The sequence below is a fragment of the Homo sapiens genome, chromosome 11 (assembly GCF_000001405.40).
Source record: "Homo sapiens chromosome 11, GRCh38.p14 Primary Assembly".
Classification (NCBI taxonomy): domain Eukaryota; kingdom Metazoa; phylum Chordata; class Mammalia; order Primates; family Hominidae; genus Homo; species Homo sapiens.
Genome location: NC_000011.10, coordinates 62,832,126 through 62,848,305, shown reverse-complemented (window position 1 = coordinate 62,848,305; position 16,180 = coordinate 62,832,126). Strand labels below are relative to the sequence as shown.

The 16,180-nt window shown below is 50.2% G+C and overlaps 2 protein-coding genes, 1 long non-coding RNA gene and 1 other non-coding gene across 12 annotated transcripts, besides 14 other annotated features; 3 read left to right on the top strand and 1 right to left on the bottom strand.

The window, feature by feature from the left end:
• Nucleotides 5,306–5,919: an enhancer, noted in NCBI's record as "NANOG-H3K27ac-H3K4me1 hESC enhancer chr11:62609859-62610472 (GRCh37/hg19 assembly coordinates)". NCBI's record gives its function as "activates a minimal SCP1, AML or CMV promoter by ChIP-STARR-seq in primed H9 embryonic stem cells {active_cell/tissue: H9 hESC(primed)}" and the evidence as "EXISTENCE:reporter gene assay evidence [ECO:0000049][PMID:30033119]".
• Nucleotides 5,823–5,892: an enhancer, noted in NCBI's record as "active region_4860". NCBI's record gives its function as "activates an Ori minimal core promoter by ATAC-STARR-seq in GM12878 lymphoblastoid cells {active_cell/tissue: GM12878}" and the evidence as "EXISTENCE:reporter gene assay evidence [ECO:0000049][PMID:35858748]".
• Nucleotides 5,920–6,533: an enhancer, noted in NCBI's record as "OCT4-NANOG-H3K27ac-H3K4me1 hESC enhancer chr11:62609245-62609858 (GRCh37/hg19 assembly coordinates)". NCBI's record gives its function as "activates a minimal SCP1, AML or CMV promoter by ChIP-STARR-seq in primed H9 embryonic stem cells {active_cell/tissue: H9 hESC(primed)}" and the evidence as "EXISTENCE:reporter gene assay evidence [ECO:0000049][PMID:30033119]".
• RNU2-2 (RNA, U2 small nuclear 2) lies at nucleotides 6,497–6,687 on the top strand. The gene has a single exon (NR_199791.1). It is a non-coding gene; the product is annotated as an RNA, U2 small nuclear 2 (small nuclear RNA).
• On the top strand, nucleotides 6,497–15,401 carry WDR74 (WD repeat domain 74). Of its 9 annotated transcripts, NM_001369449.1 has the most exons (13): nucleotides 8,716–8,799; nucleotides 8,878–8,984; nucleotides 9,071–9,192; nucleotides 10,211–10,328; nucleotides 10,887–11,355; nucleotides 12,270–12,345; nucleotides 12,465–12,611; nucleotides 12,774–12,875; nucleotides 13,779–13,879; nucleotides 13,975–14,030; nucleotides 14,369–14,514; nucleotides 14,632–14,688; nucleotides 15,175–15,395. In NM_001369449.1, the coding sequence occupies exons 7-13, from the start codon at nucleotides 12,501–12,503 to the stop codon at nucleotides 15,352–15,354; spliced, it is 753 nt and encodes a 250-aa protein (NP_001356378.1). In that variant the 5' UTR covers nucleotides 8,716–8,799; nucleotides 8,878–8,984; nucleotides 9,071–9,192; nucleotides 10,211–10,328; nucleotides 10,887–11,355; nucleotides 12,270–12,345; nucleotides 12,465–12,500; the 3' UTR covers nucleotides 15,355–15,395. The 9 variants fall into 9 exon arrangements, 8 of the variants coding, with proteins under 8 accessions (NP_001356380.1, NP_001356382.1, NP_060563.2 ...); NM_001369451.1 differs by lacking the exons at nucleotides 10,211–10,328; nucleotides 10,887–11,355 and adding an exon at nucleotides 6,497–6,737 and having other exon boundaries at nucleotides 8,439–8,799; NM_001369453.1 differs by lacking the exons at nucleotides 10,211–10,328; nucleotides 10,887–11,355 and adding an exon at nucleotides 8,096–8,228 and having other exon boundaries at nucleotides 8,439–8,799.
• Nucleotides 6,503–6,622: a silencer, noted in NCBI's record as "silent region_3433". NCBI's record gives its function as "represses an Ori minimal core promoter by ATAC-STARR-seq in GM12878 lymphoblastoid cells {active_cell/tissue: GM12878}" and the evidence as "EXISTENCE:reporter gene assay evidence [ECO:0000049][PMID:35858748]".
• Nucleotides 6,503–7,147: a biological region, named in NCBI's record as "OCT4-NANOG-H3K27ac-H3K4me1 hESC enhancer GRCh37_chr11:62608631-62609244".
• Nucleotides 6,534–7,147: an enhancer, noted in NCBI's record as "OCT4-NANOG-H3K27ac-H3K4me1 hESC enhancer chr11:62608631-62609244 (GRCh37/hg19 assembly coordinates)". NCBI's record gives its function as "activates a minimal SCP1, AML or CMV promoter by ChIP-STARR-seq in naive and primed H9 embryonic stem cells {active_cell/tissue: H9 hESC(naive and primed)}" and the evidence as "EXISTENCE:reporter gene assay evidence [ECO:0000049][PMID:30033119]".
• Nucleotides 7,343–7,392: a silencer, noted in NCBI's record as "silent region_3432". NCBI's record gives its function as "represses an Ori minimal core promoter by ATAC-STARR-seq in GM12878 lymphoblastoid cells {active_cell/tissue: GM12878}" and the evidence as "EXISTENCE:reporter gene assay evidence [ECO:0000049][PMID:35858748]".
• Nucleotides 7,523–7,692: an enhancer, noted in NCBI's record as "active region_4859". NCBI's record gives its function as "activates an Ori minimal core promoter by ATAC-STARR-seq in GM12878 lymphoblastoid cells {active_cell/tissue: GM12878}" and the evidence as "EXISTENCE:reporter gene assay evidence [ECO:0000049][PMID:35858748]".
• Nucleotides 8,323–8,462: an enhancer, noted in NCBI's record as "active region_4858". NCBI's record gives its function as "activates an Ori minimal core promoter by ATAC-STARR-seq in GM12878 lymphoblastoid cells {active_cell/tissue: GM12878}" and the evidence as "EXISTENCE:reporter gene assay evidence [ECO:0000049][PMID:35858748]".
• Nucleotides 8,533–8,872: an enhancer, noted in NCBI's record as "active region_4857". NCBI's record gives its function as "activates an Ori minimal core promoter by ATAC-STARR-seq in GM12878 lymphoblastoid cells {active_cell/tissue: GM12878}" and the evidence as "EXISTENCE:reporter gene assay evidence [ECO:0000049][PMID:35858748]".
• Nucleotides 8,933–9,052: an enhancer, noted in NCBI's record as "active region_4856". NCBI's record gives its function as "activates an Ori minimal core promoter by ATAC-STARR-seq in GM12878 lymphoblastoid cells {active_cell/tissue: GM12878}" and the evidence as "EXISTENCE:reporter gene assay evidence [ECO:0000049][PMID:35858748]".
• Nucleotides 9,163–9,292: an enhancer, noted in NCBI's record as "active region_4855". NCBI's record gives its function as "activates an Ori minimal core promoter by ATAC-STARR-seq in GM12878 lymphoblastoid cells {active_cell/tissue: GM12878}" and the evidence as "EXISTENCE:reporter gene assay evidence [ECO:0000049][PMID:35858748]".
• STX5-DT (STX5 divergent transcript) lies at nucleotides 14,263–16,072 on the bottom strand. The gene is made up of 2 exons (NR_135084.1): nucleotides 15,989–16,072; nucleotides 14,263–14,743 (listed from the first exon to the last, which is right to left on the bottom strand). It is a non-coding gene; the product is annotated as an STX5 divergent transcript (long non-coding RNA).
• TEX54 (testis expressed 54) lies at nucleotides 15,465–15,985 on the top strand. The gene has a single exon (NM_001395459.1). It carries the CDS (start codon nucleotides 15,556–15,558, stop codon nucleotides 15,928–15,930), a length of 375 nt encoding a protein of 124 aa, NP_001382388.1. The 5' UTR covers nucleotides 15,465–15,555; the 3' UTR covers nucleotides 15,931–15,985.
• Nucleotides 15,745–15,794: an enhancer, noted in NCBI's record as "active region_4854". NCBI's record gives its function as "activates an Ori minimal core promoter by ATAC-STARR-seq in GM12878 lymphoblastoid cells {active_cell/tissue: GM12878}" and the evidence as "EXISTENCE:reporter gene assay evidence [ECO:0000049][PMID:35858748]".
• Nucleotides 15,815–15,884: an enhancer, noted in NCBI's record as "active region_4853". NCBI's record gives its function as "activates an Ori minimal core promoter by ATAC-STARR-seq in GM12878 lymphoblastoid cells {active_cell/tissue: GM12878}" and the evidence as "EXISTENCE:reporter gene assay evidence [ECO:0000049][PMID:35858748]".

The window sequence follows — 16,180 nt, the reverse complement described above, 5'->3', positions numbered from 1 at the left end:
AAAAAGAAAAAGAAAAAAAAAAAGAAAATCACCTGGCCACAGTGCCTCAGTCTCCTCTTCTGTAAAAGGGAACATTAAAAGCACCTACTTATCTCTTAAGGTTGTTAATACATATAAAGTACCTGTAATGGTGCCTGGCACCATTGACCAGCAGGCTAGAGACCTTGAGTCAGTCATCACCAGAGAACAGAGGGAAGGAAAGCCAGGGCCCTACATGGGACATTTCAGCAGAGTGTGAATAGAGGGAGAAAATGCAAATACCTGGCCAGGCATGGTAGCTCATGGCTGTAATCTCAGCACTTTGAGTGGTGAAGGCAGGAGGGTTGCTTGAGGCCAGGAGTTCAAGACCTGCCTGGGCAACATAGCAAGACCCCATCTCTACAAAAAATTAAAATTAGCCAGGCATAGTGGTGCATGCCTGTAGTCCTAGGTACTTGGGAGGCTAAGGTACTTGAGAGGGTGGCTTGAGCCCGGGAGGTCAAAGCTAATTCCTAGAGAACCAGGGAGCAGATAAAATTAGCAAGGGTAAGGTTGATGGCCAACAGGTAAGCCAGTGTTTCTTTTGTATTTTTATTTATTTATTTATTTATTTATTTTTTGGAGACCAAGTCTTGCTCTGTCGCCAGGGCTGGAGTGCAGTGGCACGGTCTTGGCTCACTACAACCTCCACCTCCCAGCTGCAAGCGAGTCTTCTGCCTCAGTCTCCTGAGTAGCTGGGATTACAGGTGTGTGCCACCATGCTGGCTAATTTTTGTACTTTTAGTAGAGAGGGGATTTCACCATGTTGGCCAGGCTGGTCTCGAACTGCTGACCTCACGTGATCCACCCGCCTCAGCCTACCAAAGTGCTGGGATTACAGGCGTGAGCCACCGTGCCCAGCCACCAGTGTTTCTTTCCCAGGACCTGCCCAACTCCAAGCCAGAGTCACCAGTGACAGAGCACGAGTATTGCCATCTTGGACAAGCACTGTCATTTTAAGTTCACCTTGATCAAAAACTGCCTAAATCCAAAGGGCATCAACCTAATGGCTAAAGTCACCATGACCATAAACCACAAATGATATCTCCATCCAGAAACATTCCAAACCCCTCCCCGACCAGAGACATGCCAGCCCCGAGATAACCTCCACTCCAGAGACATTTAAACCCCGCCATAAATTTCTCCCCAACACAGAAACATTCCAAGCTTCTGATAAGCCCCCTCACCCTAAAACCAATATATACTCTTAGTCTGTAAGAGAGAACGCTCCTGGGCTGGGAGCGGTGGCTCACGCCTGGTAATCCCAGCACTTTGGGAGGCTGAGGTGGGCAGATCACCTGAGGTCAGGAGTTTGAGAGACTCTGTCTCAAAAAAAAAAAAAAAGAGAATGCTCCTGACCAAAATTGGACAGAAGCCCCTCTCAGGTTTATTTATTTTAGAGAAATAAACTTGTCTTTGACTGTTAAGCCACATTTCGTGTTTCTTTCCTTTTTTTTTTTTTTTTTTTTTTTTTTTTGAGGCAGAGTTTCGCTCTTGTTGCCCAGGCTAGAGTGCGGTGGCACGATCTCAGCTCACTGCAACCTCCGCCTCCTGAGTTCAAGCGATTCTCTTCTCTTGCTTCGACCTCCCGAGTAGCTGGGATTACAGGCATGTGCCACCATGCCCGGCTAATTTTTGTATTTTTAGTAGAGACGGGGTTTCTCCATGTTGGTCAGGCTGGTCTCAAACTCCTGATCTCAAGTGATTCGCCCTCCTCAGACTCCCAAAGTGCTGAGATTACAGGCGTGAGCCACTGCACCCATTGTCTTTCCTCTTTCTTTAATTCTTAAAATCACGAGGGAATATGGGCCCAGGTTAGCCACTCAAGTCCTGGAGCCAAAGATCATCCCAGTCAGCCCTTCACCAGGGCTGCCCACAATGGCCCAAGGACCTTTAGATCCTGTTCCTTCATGTCTGTCCAGCCCTTTCCGGATTTCTGTGGCCTTTTATCAGATATTTGGACACCTTCAGTCAGGTTCCCCTGTCTCTCTGGGGCTGTGGTTGTTAGTGTGTAGATTAATTTAATGGGCTTCAGCAGGGCTCCAAGAATCCCCCCAAAAACTGTATGCAAAATTGTGTAAGGCAAATATGCATTGATTTTGGGAAAGCATTCAATAAATTCTCAGAAGAGTTGGAGGATGCAATAAAAATGAAAAACCCAGCCTAGCCACCATGGTGAAACCTCATCTCTACTAAAAATACAAAAATTAGCTGGGCATGGTGGCGGGCACCTGTAGTCCCAGCTACTCAGAAGGCTGAGGCAGGAGAATTGCTTGAACCTGGGAGGCAGAGGTTGCGGTGAGACTATCTCAAAAAAAGAAATAAAAAATTAAAAAATTAAATAAAAATGAGGCTGGGCACGGTGGCTCAAGCCTGCACTTTGGGAGGCCGAGGCGGGTAGATCACCTGAGGTAAAAAGTTTGAGACCAGACTGGCCAACGTGGTGAAACCCTGTCTCTACTAAAAATACAAATACAAAAAATTAGCCAGGCGTGGTGGTGTGCACCTGTAATCCCAGCTACTTCAGAGGCTGAGGCAGGAGAATCCCTTGAACCCAGGATGTGGAGGTTGCAGTGAGCCGAGATCACACTACTGCACTCCAGCCTGAGTGACAGAGTGAGACTCTATCTCAAAAAAAAAAAAAAAATTTTGTAACATTCTCGTCTTCAAAAAAGAAAAATAAAAAAAGGCCAGGTGCCCTGGTTTAAGCCTGTAATCCCAGCATTTCGGGAGGTTAAGGAAGGAGGATAGATTGAGGTTGGGAGTTTTGAGATCAGCCTGGCCAACATAGCAAGACTCCATCTTTATATTAAAAAATAAAAAGAAAAAAAAGAAAAGCAGGCTGGGTGCGGTGGCTCACGCCTGTAATCCCAGCACTTTGGGAGGCCGAGGCGGGCAGATCACGAGGTCAGGAGATCGAGACCATCTGGCTAACACGGTGAAACCCCATCTCTACTAAAAACACAAAAAAATTAGCCGGGCATGGTGGCGGGCGCCTGTTCCAGCTACTCAGGAGGCAGAAGCAGGAGAATGCTGTGAACCCAGAAGGTGGAGCTTGCAGTGAGCCGAGATCGTGCCACTGCACTCCAGCCTGGGTGACAGAGTGAGACTCTGTCTCAAAAAAACAAAAAACAAAATAATTTAGAGACTCCGCACGGTGGCTTATGCCCGTAATCCCAGCACTTTGGGAGGCCTAGGCGGGTGGATCACTTGGTCAGGAGTCCAGACCAGGCTGACCAACATGGTGAAATCCTGTCTCTACTAAAAAAAAAATACAAAACGAAAAGGCCAGGCATGGTGGCTAACGCCTGTAATCCCAGCACTTTGGGAGGCCGAGGTGGGCAGATCACGAGGTCAGGAGTTCAAGACCAGCCTGACCAAAATGGTGAAACCCCGTTTCTTTTTTTTTTGAGACGGAGTCTTGCTCTGTTTCCCAGGCTGGAGTGCAGTGGTGCGATCTCCACTCACTGCAAGCTCTGCCTCCCAGGTTCACACGATTCTCCTGCCTCAGCCTCCCGAATAGCTGGGATTACAGGCGCCCACCACCACGCGCCCAGCTAATTTTTTGTATTTTTAGTAGAGACGGGCCTCCAACACTTTGGAGGCTGAGGTGGGCGGATCACCTGAGGTTGGGAGTTCAAGACCAGCCTGACCAACATGGAGAAACCCCATCTCTAGTAAAAATACAAAATTAGCTTGGCATGGTGGCACATGCTTGTAATCCCAGCAACTCGTGAGGCTGAGGCAGGAGAATAGCTTGAACTCAAGAGGCAGAGGTTGCGGTGAGCTGAATTGCGCCACTGCACTCTAGCCTGGGCAACAAGGGCAAGACTCCGTCTCCAAAAAATAATAATAATAAATAAATAAATAAAAATAATAAAGTAAATAAATAGTATTAAATAAAATAAAAGTAGGGTGTAAAATGAGGCAGGACACAGGCAACTACTGTTTTTATATAAGTCTTTTAACACTAGTTGACAATTTAAGGTATATTAGTTTCATGAAAATAAAACATGAATTTTAAATTTTTATTTCATTTTATTTATTTATTTATTATTTTTTGAGATAGGGTCTCCCTCTCTCACCCAGCCTAGAGTGCAGTGGTGTGATCATGGCTCACTGCAGCCTCAACCTCCCAGGCTCAAGCAATCCTCCTGCCTTAGTCTTCCAAGTAGCTGAGACTTCTGGTATGTGCCACCACACCCGGATAATTTTTGTACTTTTGTAGAGACAAGGTTCGCCATGTTGTCCAGGTTGGTCTCGAACTCCTGGCCTCAAGTGATCTTCCTGCCTTGGCCTCCCAAAGTGCTAGAATTACAGGAATGAGGCCCTGGGCCCTGCCCCTGTACTAGTTTCTTATTGCCCCTGTATTCGTTTCTTATTGCTGTTGTAACAAATTACCCACAAACTTAGCGGCCAAAAACAAAACAAATGTATCATCTTACGGTTCTGGAGACCAGAGGTCCAAAATGAGTCTCAATGGGCTAAAATCAAGGTGTAATGACAGGGCTGCATTGCTTTCTGGAGGCTGCATGGGAGAATCTATTTCCTTGCTTTTTCCAACTTCTAGCTGCTGCCCACAACTCCCTGGCTGATGACTCTCTTCCATCTGCAGAGCAAGCCCTGGCTGCTCAAATCTTCCTCAGGTTGCATCACTCAGACTCTCCTGCCTCCCTCTACCCCTTATAAAGACATTTGTGATTACTCTGAACCCACCCAGAAAATCCAGGATAAATCTCGCCGTCTCAAAATCCTTAATTTAATAATATCTGCAAAATACCTTTTGCTATGTAAGGTAACACATTCAGAGGTTCTCACTGACCATCTCTGGGGTGGGGAGGGCATTATTCTGCTTATTATCCTCTTTTTTTTTTTTTTTTTTTTGAGACAGAGTCTCGCTCTGTCACCCAGGCTGGAGTGTAGTGTCATGATCTCAGATCACTGCAACCTCTGCCTCCCAGGTTCAAGCGATTCTCATGCCTCAGCCTCCCAAGTAGCTGGGACTACAGGCATGCACCATCATGCCTGGCTACTTTTTGTATTTTCAGTAGAGACAGGGTTTTGCCATGTTGCCCAGGCTGGTCTCGAACTCCTGGCCTCAAGTAATCCACCCGCCTTGGCCTCCCGAAGTGTTGGGATTACAGGTGTGAGCCACCACGCCCGGCCCCCTGCCTACTACTCTCTTGATGTGGCACCTCTCTGAAGGCTCTGGGTTTACTTATGAGAACTTGTAGAAATTTCTTTTGTTTATTAATACCAGTGTCATAAAATCATAGATTATCAGAAGCTTTGCCGGTTGACATTTTATCAGTGAGAATGTTAACGCCCCACTCCTGCCTGGAGGATCTCAGCCATGCAAGACGCTTTGATGCAAAGACACCGCCTCTATTTCCAACCCAGGTTAAGGGGTTTCCAACAGAACGATCCACGTTTATATTAATAGAGCTTCCAAGAAAGCAAGACCTTAAGTCCCTTCTCAGCCAGGGCCTCATATTAATCCCTTTCATTCTGGCGAGCTTGCTTTGATCGATTAAAAAAAAATCGCTCCATTTCAATTTTACCTACACTCTCCTCCTCCTCCTTCGCCCCAGTCCTCTAACGACCCTGCCTCTGCCTTCGAGGAGAGGCCCTGTGGTTTCTCGGTCGGACTTCCGGGTGGGATGCCTTGCCGCGTTGCTGGTCGGCCTGAAAGTAACTCTAAAGAGTGCGTGGGTCGGAGGACATCGGGGCTGAGGCGTCAGCACCTTTCTCCCACCGCGGGATCCCGGGTTTGAGGATCAGGAGCCTCTGAAATGGCTTTCTCAGGGCATCTTTCCCTCTCAGTGAAGGGCCAGATGTTTGCTGGCGGACAGTACAAATGCAAGGTGCGGGTCGTGCCTCGCCCCTATGTCCTCAGTTCTCACAAACTCCGGAGAGTGAGTGTCACCATTTCCCCCGTTTAAATGGGGAGGAAACAAGAGCCTAAATACCAAGCCCAGGCCATTAAGTCAGGAACTGGAGAGCAGGGAGCCCAACCTCCTTTTTTGGACTCCAAAACCTGTGCTTTGACACCGCGCCGCGGCTTCTCCCAAGAAAGGTCCCGGAGAGGGGCGCCGCCACCTGCAGCACTGTCCCGCCGCCCCCTGGAAAGCCGAAAAACCCCTAGGATGGGAGACTAACGCCACAATCGGGGAAAAGGAGGCCACGCGGGCATTGAAATCACGACTGGTGTGTGGACCAATCCCAGGATCCTAAAAAAGCGAAAGGGGCGGGTTTATGCAAAACAAACTGAGCAGGGAGCAGGCGGCGGAAGAAGTAGAGGACGTTTAAATAGGGCTGTTTCCAAAATATAGCCACTACTATAAAGAAAGAATAATGAAAACTGTGTTTCGGAATTATAATGTATTGGGAGATAATTTAACATTTAGTGCCTGGATAGTTACCATAACTGGTTGGAAGATGGGAAGGATAAGGCCGCCGAGGCGACCGAAGTAAAGGTATCGCTTCTCGGCCTTTTGGCTAAGATCAAGTGTAGTATCTGTTCTTATCAGTTTAATATCTGATACGTCCTCTATCCGAGGACAATATATTAAATGGATTTTTGGAAATAGGAGATGGAATAGGAGCTTGCTCCGTCCACTCCACGCATCGACCTGGTATTGCAGTACTTCCAGGAACGGTGCACTCTCCCTTCGGGGAGAGAACAACCGTTGTTTAATGGAAGATTTCGATCAGTTAGGGTACAAGCTAAATAGTTATGTTCTTGTTGTTTGAGTTGGATTAGGTGTTTTTATCGCTAGTGTGTTGAATGACGCGTGTTTGAGTGTCTTGTTGAGAGAAGGTTTTGTTTTATAACTGAGCACGGAGCGTAGTATCTCCATGTGGTCTTCAGCAATCTTCATACTTCAGCCTCTGGGGTAGTTGGAACTATTGAGCGCTTGCCACCACCCCCGGCTAATGTTTTCCATTTTTATTTCTTATTTATTTTTTTTGAGACGTCGTCTTGCTCTGTCGCCCAGGCTAGAGTGCAATGGCATGATCTCAGCTCACTGCAACATCCGCCTCCCGGGTTCATGCGATTCTCCTGCATCAGCCTCCCGAGTGGCTGGGACTACAGGCGCCCGCCACCACGCCCAGCGAATTTTTATACTTTTAATAGAGACGGGGTTTCACCATGTTGGCCAGGGTGGTCTCCATCTCTTGACCTTGTGATCCGCCCGCTTCAGCCTCCCAAAGTGCTGGGAATACAGGCGTGAGCCACCGCGCCCGGCCTGTTTTGTATTTTTAGTGGAGACAGGGTTTCACAACGTGTTAACCAGGATGGTCTCGATCTCCTGAGCTCGTGATCCGCCCGCCTCGGCCTCCCAAAGTGGTGGGATTACAGGCGTGAGCCACCGCGCCCGGCCTGGTTTCGCGTTTGATGTGTTAAACCTAGGTCGCGCTCGGGGTTTCAAGCGTGAAATCCTAGCACTTCGGGAGGTTGGGGCGGGCGGATTGGGTAATTCCAGCCTGACTAACATGGTGTGAAAAATCCCGTCTTCACTAAAAAACCAAAAGAAAAGTGAATCAGGCCTGGTGGCGGGCGCTCTAGCCTGAGAGACAGAGCAAGATTCCATCTCAAAAAATAAATAAATCTTCGCGTTAGATAAAGGGTTTACTTGTAAACTGGTAATTTGTTGCTTTTCTGTGTTAATCTCTAGGTAAAGTAGCGACTTCCCTCTCCTATTTACGCATGCGCTATTACTGTATTTCTACTGAGCGATGACTTTCTCTGCGTTTCTCATGTAGCATAGCACAGAGTACTTTTAGTTGTTTTTGTTTTTTTTTTTTGAGACGGAGTCTCTGACGCCCAGGCTGGAGTGCAGTGGCGCAATCTCGGCTCACTGCAAGCTCCTCCTCCCGGGTTCACGCCATTCTCCTGCCTCAGCCTCCGGAGTAGCTGGGACTACAGGCGCCCGCCACCACGCCCGGCTAGTTTTGTTTTTGTATGTTTAGTAGAGACGGGGATTCACCGTGTTAGCCAAGATGGTCTCGATCTCCTGACCTCATGATCCGCCCGCCTCGGCCTCCCAAAGTGCTGGGATTACAGGCGTGAGCCACCGCGCCTCGCTGTCCGCCTCTTGAAGAGTAAACGAGGCCGGGCGCGGTGGTTTAGTAATACCAGCTGTAATCCCAGCTACTTGGGAGGCTGAGGCAGAAGAATCGCTTGAACCCGGGAGGCGGAGGTTGAGGTGAGAGGAGATCGCGCCATTGCACTCCAGCCTGGGCAACAAGGGCGAAGTTCTCTCAAAAGAAAAAAAAAATCGTCGGTTTCCTTTTCCCATCTTTCTTTCGTGACTTATATTCCAGAACGAAGCCCCACACATCATTAATGATTTGAATCGTTTCTAAAGTGTTTCTTAAATCGTTTCTTAAATCGTTTGTTGTTTCTTGTCTAACAGTCCAGAACACATATTACATAATGGAGCCGGGAGACAGACTAGGGCTGGCTTGATCCGGCCACGCAGTCCAGGAAAGGTGCTTTTCACCCCCAAGTGCAAAATGATCAATGTATTCTTCCGATCTACATAAACAAGCACCTCCTGGTTTCATTTTCGTAAAGCAAAACAAGCATGGAAGCTTTACTGTTTCGGCTCTTCAAACTTCCAGCAACTACACTGCGCTGCATCGGACTCGACGCCCGCTGGTGACGCACACGCTGCGCCGGAAGTGTGAACTGTCTGCCTCCAGGCTTTGTCATGGCGGCTGCTGCTGCACGCTGGAACCATGTGTGGGTCGGCACCGAGACTGGGATCTTGAAAGGTGGGTGGCAGGCTCGGGCGTCGGGAAGTGCAGGGGTGCACTCGCGCCCCTGGCGTGACTGACGCCTTCGTCTCTCAGGGGTAAATCTTCAGCGAAAACAGGCGGCGAACTTCACGGCCGGAGGACAGCCGCGGCGCGAGGAGGCAGTGAGCGCCCTGTGTTGGGGCACCGGCGGCGAGACCCAGGTGAGTGGCCCCTGGTCGGGCCGGAGCTGGGGGCCTGGGGCGCAGCAGCCTCGCTCTCCTCGCCATCTTGCCCTTCTTTGCCGCAGATGCTGGTGGGCTGCGCGGACAGGACGGTGAAGCACTTCAGCACCGAGGATGGCATATTCCAGGGTCAGAGACACTGCCCGGGCGGGGAGGGCATGTTCCGTGGCCTCGCCCAGGCCGACGGGTAAGACCAATCCCCTCGCTAAACTCAGGGCCGAAGGGAGAGCGTTGATGCTCCCTGAGGATACTGGAATGATGGCGACAGGCAAACTCTTAGTGACACGGCTTTGAATGGGTGACAGGGACCTGGGTTTCTGCCTTATGTAGTTCATACCTGTAACACACATTTATTGAACACCTACTGAATTCCAGGCACTGGGAGAAGTACAGGGGCTGCCGGTAAAATTTCTGCCTTCAAAAAGTTCTCATCCTCTAAGGTTTTTCACCTGACTCCATTATAATCCTCTAAGTAACCATGGGCAAGTCATTTAATAGTTTTGTGTGTGTGTGTGTTTGTTTTTTGTTTTTTTTTTTTTTGGAGACGGAGTTTTCGCTCTTGTTGCCCAGGCTGGAGTGCAGTGGCGCGATCTCGGCTCACTGCAACCTCCGCCTCCCGGGTTCAAGCGATACTCCTGCCTCAGCCTCCCAAGTACCTGGGATTACAGGCGTCTGCCACCACGCGCGGCTATTTTTGTATCTTTAGTAGAGACGGGGTTTCACCGTATTGGCTAGGCTGGTCTCGAACTCCTGACCTCAGGTGATCCACCTGCCTCGGACTCCCAAAGTGCTGGGATTACAGGCGTGAGCCACTGTGCCTGCTTGTCATTTAATAGTTTTAAGCAAGGCTGGGTGTGGTGGCTCATGCCTGTCATCCCAGCACTTTGGAAGGCCGAGATAGGTGGATCACTTGAGGTCAGGAGTTCAAGACCAGCCTGGCCAGCACGGTAAAACCCCTTCTCTACTAAAAAAATACAAAAATTATCCGGGTGTGGTGGCTCATGCCTGTAATCCCAGCTACTTGGGAGGCCGAGGCTGGAGAATCGCTTGAATCCGTCCCGCAGAGGTTGCAGTGAGCAGAGATCGCACCAGTGCACTCCAGTCTGTGAAACAGAGCAAGACTCCATCTCAAAAAAAACAACAAAAAAAGTTTTAAGCATGCATTCATTAATTCATTATTAATTCATTTATATTTTTTGAGACAGAGCCTCACTGTGTCACCTAGGCTTGAGTGCAGTGGTGCATTCATGGCTCACTACAGCCTCAACCTCCCGGGGTCAAACGATCCTCCCGCCTCAACCTCCTGAGTACCTGGGACCACAGGCAGGTGTCACCCTGCCCAGCTAAATTTTTAAGTTTTTTATAGAGATGGGGTCTCACTGTGTGCCCAGGCCAGTCTCAAACTCCTGGGCTCAACTTGAGCTCAACCACCAACAAGGTGATGTAGCTCTGAAAGCAAAGATTAGGAAGGTGCTAAGTGGTTGGATGACTGGCCTTGCTTTCTTCCAAAGATGATGAAAGAGGGCTGTGAAGCAGGCTGCATAGGTTTGGTGGTGGTAATTCTGACAGGTGAGGTCTGGAAAGCCTGTGGGGGGGACTGGATGTCTGAACTGGTTCTTGAGGGATGGGTAGAATTTTGACTGGTGGAGAAGGGGATAAGGGTATTCTAGAAAGAGGGTACTGCCTGGGAGAGGCCAAGGACTGGAGGCATGCTACAGGGTACATAAATAGGATAAATAGCATTTGATTTGGAAGTTGATAACAAGGAAGCGTTTTTTTTTTTTTGTTTTTTGTTTTTTTTTTATATACGGAGTCTCACTCTGTTGCCCAGGCTGGAGTGCAGTGGCACAGTCTCGGCTCACTGCAACTTCTGCCTCCCAGGCTCAAGCGATTCTCTTGCCTCAGCCTCCTGAGTAGCTGGGATTACAGGCATCCGCCACCACGCCCAGCTAAGTTTTTTTTGTATTTTTATTAGAGACAGGGTTTCACTATGTTGGCCAGGCTAGTCTGGAACTCCTGACCTCAGGCAATCCGCCCACCTCAGCCTCCCAAAATGCTGGGATTACAGGCGTGAACCACTGCACCCGGCCAAGGAAGCATTTTAATACAAGATGAACACTATATTAGGTTGGGATTAAATGTAAAGGGCTTTAAGTGCTAGGTTGAGAGATGTGCACTTTTATTGGTGTTGGTGAGTTATTCATTTATTGTTTTTGTTTTTCTGAGAGACGGAGTCTTGCTCTGTCACTGAGGCTGAAGTGCAGTGGCATGATCTCGGCTCACTGCAACCTCCACCTCCCTGGTTCAGGCGATTCTCCTGCCTCAACTTCCCAAGTAGCTAGGACTACAGGCATGTACCACCACACCCAGCTAATTTTTGTATTTTTTAGTAGAGACAAGATTTCACTATATGTTGGCCAGGCTGGTCTGGAACTCCTGACCTCAGGTGATCTGCCTGCCTTGGCCTCCCAAAGTGCTGGGATTATAGGCGTGAGCCACTGTGCCTGGCCAAGTTATCAGTTTTTGAATAGGAAGTACCATAGTCAGCACTGGGAGCCTGTAGGAGTATGGAGGATGGATTGGAGACAGCAACTGGGAGACTTTTGCCACAGGTCAGGCAAGTCGATACAGAGCCCGAACCCAGCTAGGGAGGGTTGGCAGGTGTGAGAAAGAACATAGGCGCAGGCTGTGCAGATCCTGGGGAGAGACTTGCTTGGACTTCTCGGGAGGGATATTTTAAGCAAGAGACTGACATTTAGTGCCTGAAACTCAGAGCAAGGAACCCAAGAAGTTGGTGTTTGACTTTGACCAAGCCCTAAATTCAGACCAGCCCTAGTAAGCAACTCAAGATTCAGACAGACCAGTACAGCCAGATGCTAGACATAGCTGTGAACAGCAAAAGCACTCTGGAATATCACAGAGTTGATTTCTAGCTGTGGTTGTAACATAGCTGAGTGGCAAATTAGTTTCTCAGCGCTTCTATTTCCTCACTTGGTAAACCCTCACCCTGTTGAGAAAGTTGAATTAACAGATTAGGAAGCTGGAAGCTGTCAAGCCCTGCCTAGAGCCCAGTGACCTAGAGGCTTCCTTCTAAACTGGACTGTTAGTAGGGAATCTGGTTGATATGAGTTTGGGGCCTAGAGAATACTTTTATACTTTTTTTTTTCTTTAAACATTAGTCAACTGTAGTAGTAAGGAGGAGAGAAAGATTAGAACAAGGAGTTTAAGCACTTAAAAAATCCCAACTCTATCCTTTCTCTGCAGCACCCTCATCACATGTGTGGATTCTGGGATTCTCAGAGTCTGGCATGACAAGGACAAGGACACATCCTCTGACCCAGTGAGGCTCCCCTGCCCTGATGGTTGGGGGAGGTGGGCTGGGGTAGGTGCCTAATGATCACGCTGGGGAAGGGAGGATTAAGGACTCTGGAACGGACTCTTATCTCCTATTCTTTACAGCTCCTGGAACTGAGAGTGGGCCCTGGGGTGTGTAGGATGCGCCAAGACCCAGCACACCCCCATGTGGTTGCCACAGGTGGGAAAGAGAATGCTTTGAAGATATGGGACCTGCAGGGCTCTGAGGAACCTGTGTTCAGGGCCAAGAACGTGAGTGACAAGAGTGTGAAGGAGCTGTTCCTGAAGTCGAGGGAGGCTGAGGCCACTGACGATGCATTAGAGACTAGATGGACTTAGGGGGCGAAGGAGGGCTGAAAACAGGGGCACATCGAGCCCCCCATAGCCCTGTCCTCCATCTGCCCACCCCACCAGGTGCGGAATGACTGGCTGGACTTGCGGGTTCCCATCTGGGACCAGGACATACAGTTTCTCCCAGGATCACAGAAGCTTGTCACCTGCACAGGGTACCACCAGGTAAGGTGTCACCTCACACCTGCCTTCTCCTGGGATAAAGCAGCCTCCTGGAGAAATGGCCCCCACGGTTTGACACAACTGCTCTTCTCACCATTCTGAGTTCAGAGGAGCAAGCGCTTCCCCGTCTGTTCCAACCCTGTCCCTGAGCCCATGACCTTCCTCTACTGTATTCTAGGGTGGAGTTTCCTGAACTATGCCTGTTTTCCTCCCACCTGGAAGAGAGGAAAGGAGAGTGGATCCCCTTCACTGTGGGAATTATAGGGTGCAGGTGTCAGAGGACATTGGGCTGGGTGTTAAGAGAACTGGGTTCTGGTCCTGATGCAGCCTCTCTGATTTGCTTTGGGACCCAGGCCTGAGCCTCCCATCTCTGGCCTCAGCTCCTCAGCTTTACAGGAAGGGCCCGAATGGGGAATCTTTATGGTTTGTCTCATTTGAGGTCTTGAGACACGGGCGGGGCTGGGTCACTGTATTTGTCCTATTTTCTTTGCTTCTGCACATTGAAGTCTGATCTTGGTCATATGCCTCTGCTCAAAACACATATGAGGGCATCCTCTTTCCTCCTTCATTCAGGCTAACCCCTGCTTGAAATTTAGCACCTACTGACTACTAGACCAACTTGCTTTTCTGTCCCTCCATTTCCCCTAGATGGGAGTATGGGGGGATGGAATGCTCACACACTTCCAACCTAGGGGACCTCTCCCCTCAGCTCTGTCCATTTATGCTGCTAAGCAGCTCTCCTGACACCCTGATGCTCAGAGAAGAGGCATACATCTAAGATGAGAAAGTTTCTGGGAGTGGATCATAAATAAGAAAGCAGTGTGCAGGGAGGGGGTGAGGATGCAGAGACGCCAGAGGGTAGGTGCAGGGTGAGGATACTTTTGTGATGCTTCAGCCTTCCTCTAGGTCCGTGTTTATGATCCAGCATCCCCCCAGCGCCGGCCAGTCCTAGAGACCACCTATGGAGAGTACCCACTAACAGCCATGACCCTCACTCCGGGAGGCAAGTGAGTGTTTAGAGGGGAAGGGGTGGGAGGGTGGGGCTTGAGAAGGGCTCCAGGAGGTTACTGCTGATCCCACTTGCCTCTGGTCTCATCCTCAGCTCAGTGATTGTGGGAAACACTCATGGGCAGCTGGCAGAAATTGACCTTCGGCAAGGTGAGTGGACTAGGGTACATTGGGGGAAAGGAAGGAGCAGGGAGAAGGGTCAGGATTCCCTCTAAGGTGGTGCAGTGGGGCCAGTGAGGCCTCATTCAGGTGCCAGATTGCCTGGGTTTAAATCCTGGTTTCCCTAAAAGCTGTATGACCTTAAACTAATTATTTCAACTCCCTGTGCCTTAGTTTCCTCACCTGCGAAATGGAAATATTAGTAGAAGCTCCAGTCTCAGGGTTTTGTTGCAGATTAAATGTTGAAATGGAAAGTGATTGGAACAGGAAACAATGAATGGTTGGTTATTGGCCAGCCAGTTATCACGGATGCTTCCCCCCTTCTCTAGGGCGTCTACTGGGCTGTCTGAAGGGGCTGGCAGGCAGTGTGCGTGGGTTGCAGTGCCACCCTTCAAAGCCTCTACTAGCCTCCTGTGGCTTGGACAGAGTCTTGAGGATACACAGGATCCAGAATCCACGGGGTCTGGAGCATAAGGTAAGTTGTCTCTCCCACCTCCAACTCATGGTCTTGTGGAGGCCCCGCCTCCTGTGCCCTCCGTTCATGTTTCTGTCTCAGCATGCCTGGCTCCTTAAGGTCCCTCATCTTTTGCAGGTTTATCTCAAGTCTCAATTGAACTGCCTCCTCTTGTCAGGCAGGGACAACTGGGAGGTGAGCAGTTGGGCCCGGGAATGTGGGAGCCAAGGGCATAGATGTGAGGACCTCCCTATGGAGAGGAAAAGGAGGCAGCTGGAATGCAGACTTGGGACTATCTGTTTACCTGCCTGGTCACTTAATTTCTCTGAGAGGCATTAACAGTTAAAATCCTGAGAGGGTTATTGCCAACAGCATGGATGGGGTTGCTTTCTAGGAGCAGGGAATAAAGGTGGTGGTACCCAGAGGGATTCTTTCTCAGCCAGGGTCTCCTTCCCTGTGGGTTTGTCCCTGTGCCCCTGACTACTTTTCTTTTTTTTTTTTTTTTTTTTTTTTTTTAAACTTCTTTTTGTGGAGATGGGGTCTCCTTATGTTGCCCAGTCTGGTCGCTAAGTCCTGGGCTCAAGCAATCCTCCTGCCTTGGTCTCCCAAAGTGCTGAGATTACAGGTGGGAGCCACCGTGCCCGGCCCCCCTGACTCCTAAGCTTTCTTCCCACTCACCAGGATGAGCCCCAAGAGCCTCAAGAACCCAACAAGGTGCCCCTAGAAGACACAGAGACAGATGAACTTTGGGCATCCTTGGAGGCAGCTGCCAAGCGGAAGCTCTCGGGTTTGGAGCAGCCCCAAGGAGCTCTCCAAACGAGACGGAGAAAGAAGAAGCGGCCTGGGTCCACCAGCCCCTGACGCCCCTGTGCCCACTTTGTAAATAAACTGCTGAACACCCACCATGACCCTGAGCCTTTTGTGATGGGAGAAAGGAATGAGGGGTAGCTTGGGGTGGGGGCTGCCTGAGCTGGGGCGACGGGATATCTGATGTCACAAAAGCCGGGCCTGGAGGCAGGCAGGCTGGCGTGGGTGGCACGGAGTCCAGGGCCACGCGGGGCCATGGGCTGCTGCCAAGACAAGGACTTTGAGATGTCTGATGAGCAGTCCAAGGAGGAAGAGTCTGAGGACGGCAGGGAAGATGAGACCACAGACACACAAAGAGGGCCCAGGGAGTGTGAGAGGGGGCTTCCCGAGGGTAGGGGTGAGCTCAGAGGCCTCGTCGTCCCCTCAGGCGCCGAAGATATCGACTTGAACTCCCCGGACCATCCGAATCACAAGTCGAACGAAAGCCTTCTGATTACCGTGCTGTGGCGGCGACTATCCACGTTCGGTCGTCGGGGCTCCTCGCGGCCAAGCAAGAGGCAACCAGACCAGATTCGGAAGCAGGAGAGTCCGATCCGAGAAGGCAACCAGGAGGAGCCGGAGAAGGGATGACCCCAGACCTGCTCTCAGTCCGCCCCAACCTCCAGAGAATAAAATTTCTAACGTATACCTGCACGACCACTCTGGGGGACTGGGCGCGGACACCACCGGGCAGCTGGTTCTTTAAGGCTCCTTCCCGGAGGCGGGCCCAGCCCCCTGAGCGCCTGCTGTAGTACTCTGGGGCGGGGTCACGGTGGCGCCTTAGCCAATGGGAGGGCGGGATCGCTCTTGCGTTTGGGTGTGGGGCGTGTCTTTCGGGTCG

Excerpts from the sequence above, each read along its gene's own strand:
- WDR74 (NM_001369447.1), top strand. The coding sequence starts at position 8,736 with ATGGCGGCTGCTGCTGCACGCTGGAACCATGTGTGGGTCGGCACCGAG. Across the intron at positions 8,800-8,877 it reads CGAGACTGGGATCTTGAAAG|GGGTAAATCTTCAGCGAAAA; the intron begins GTGGGTGGCAGG and ends TTCGTCTCTCAG. Across the intron at positions 14,689-15,174 it reads CAGGCAGGGACAACTGGGAG|GATGAGCCCCAAGAGCCTCA; the intron begins GTGAGCAGTTGG and ends CCCACTCACCAG.
- TEX54 (NM_001395459.1), top strand. The coding sequence starts at position 15,556 with ATGGGCTGCTGCCAAGACAAGGACTTTGAGATGTCTGATGAGCAGTCC.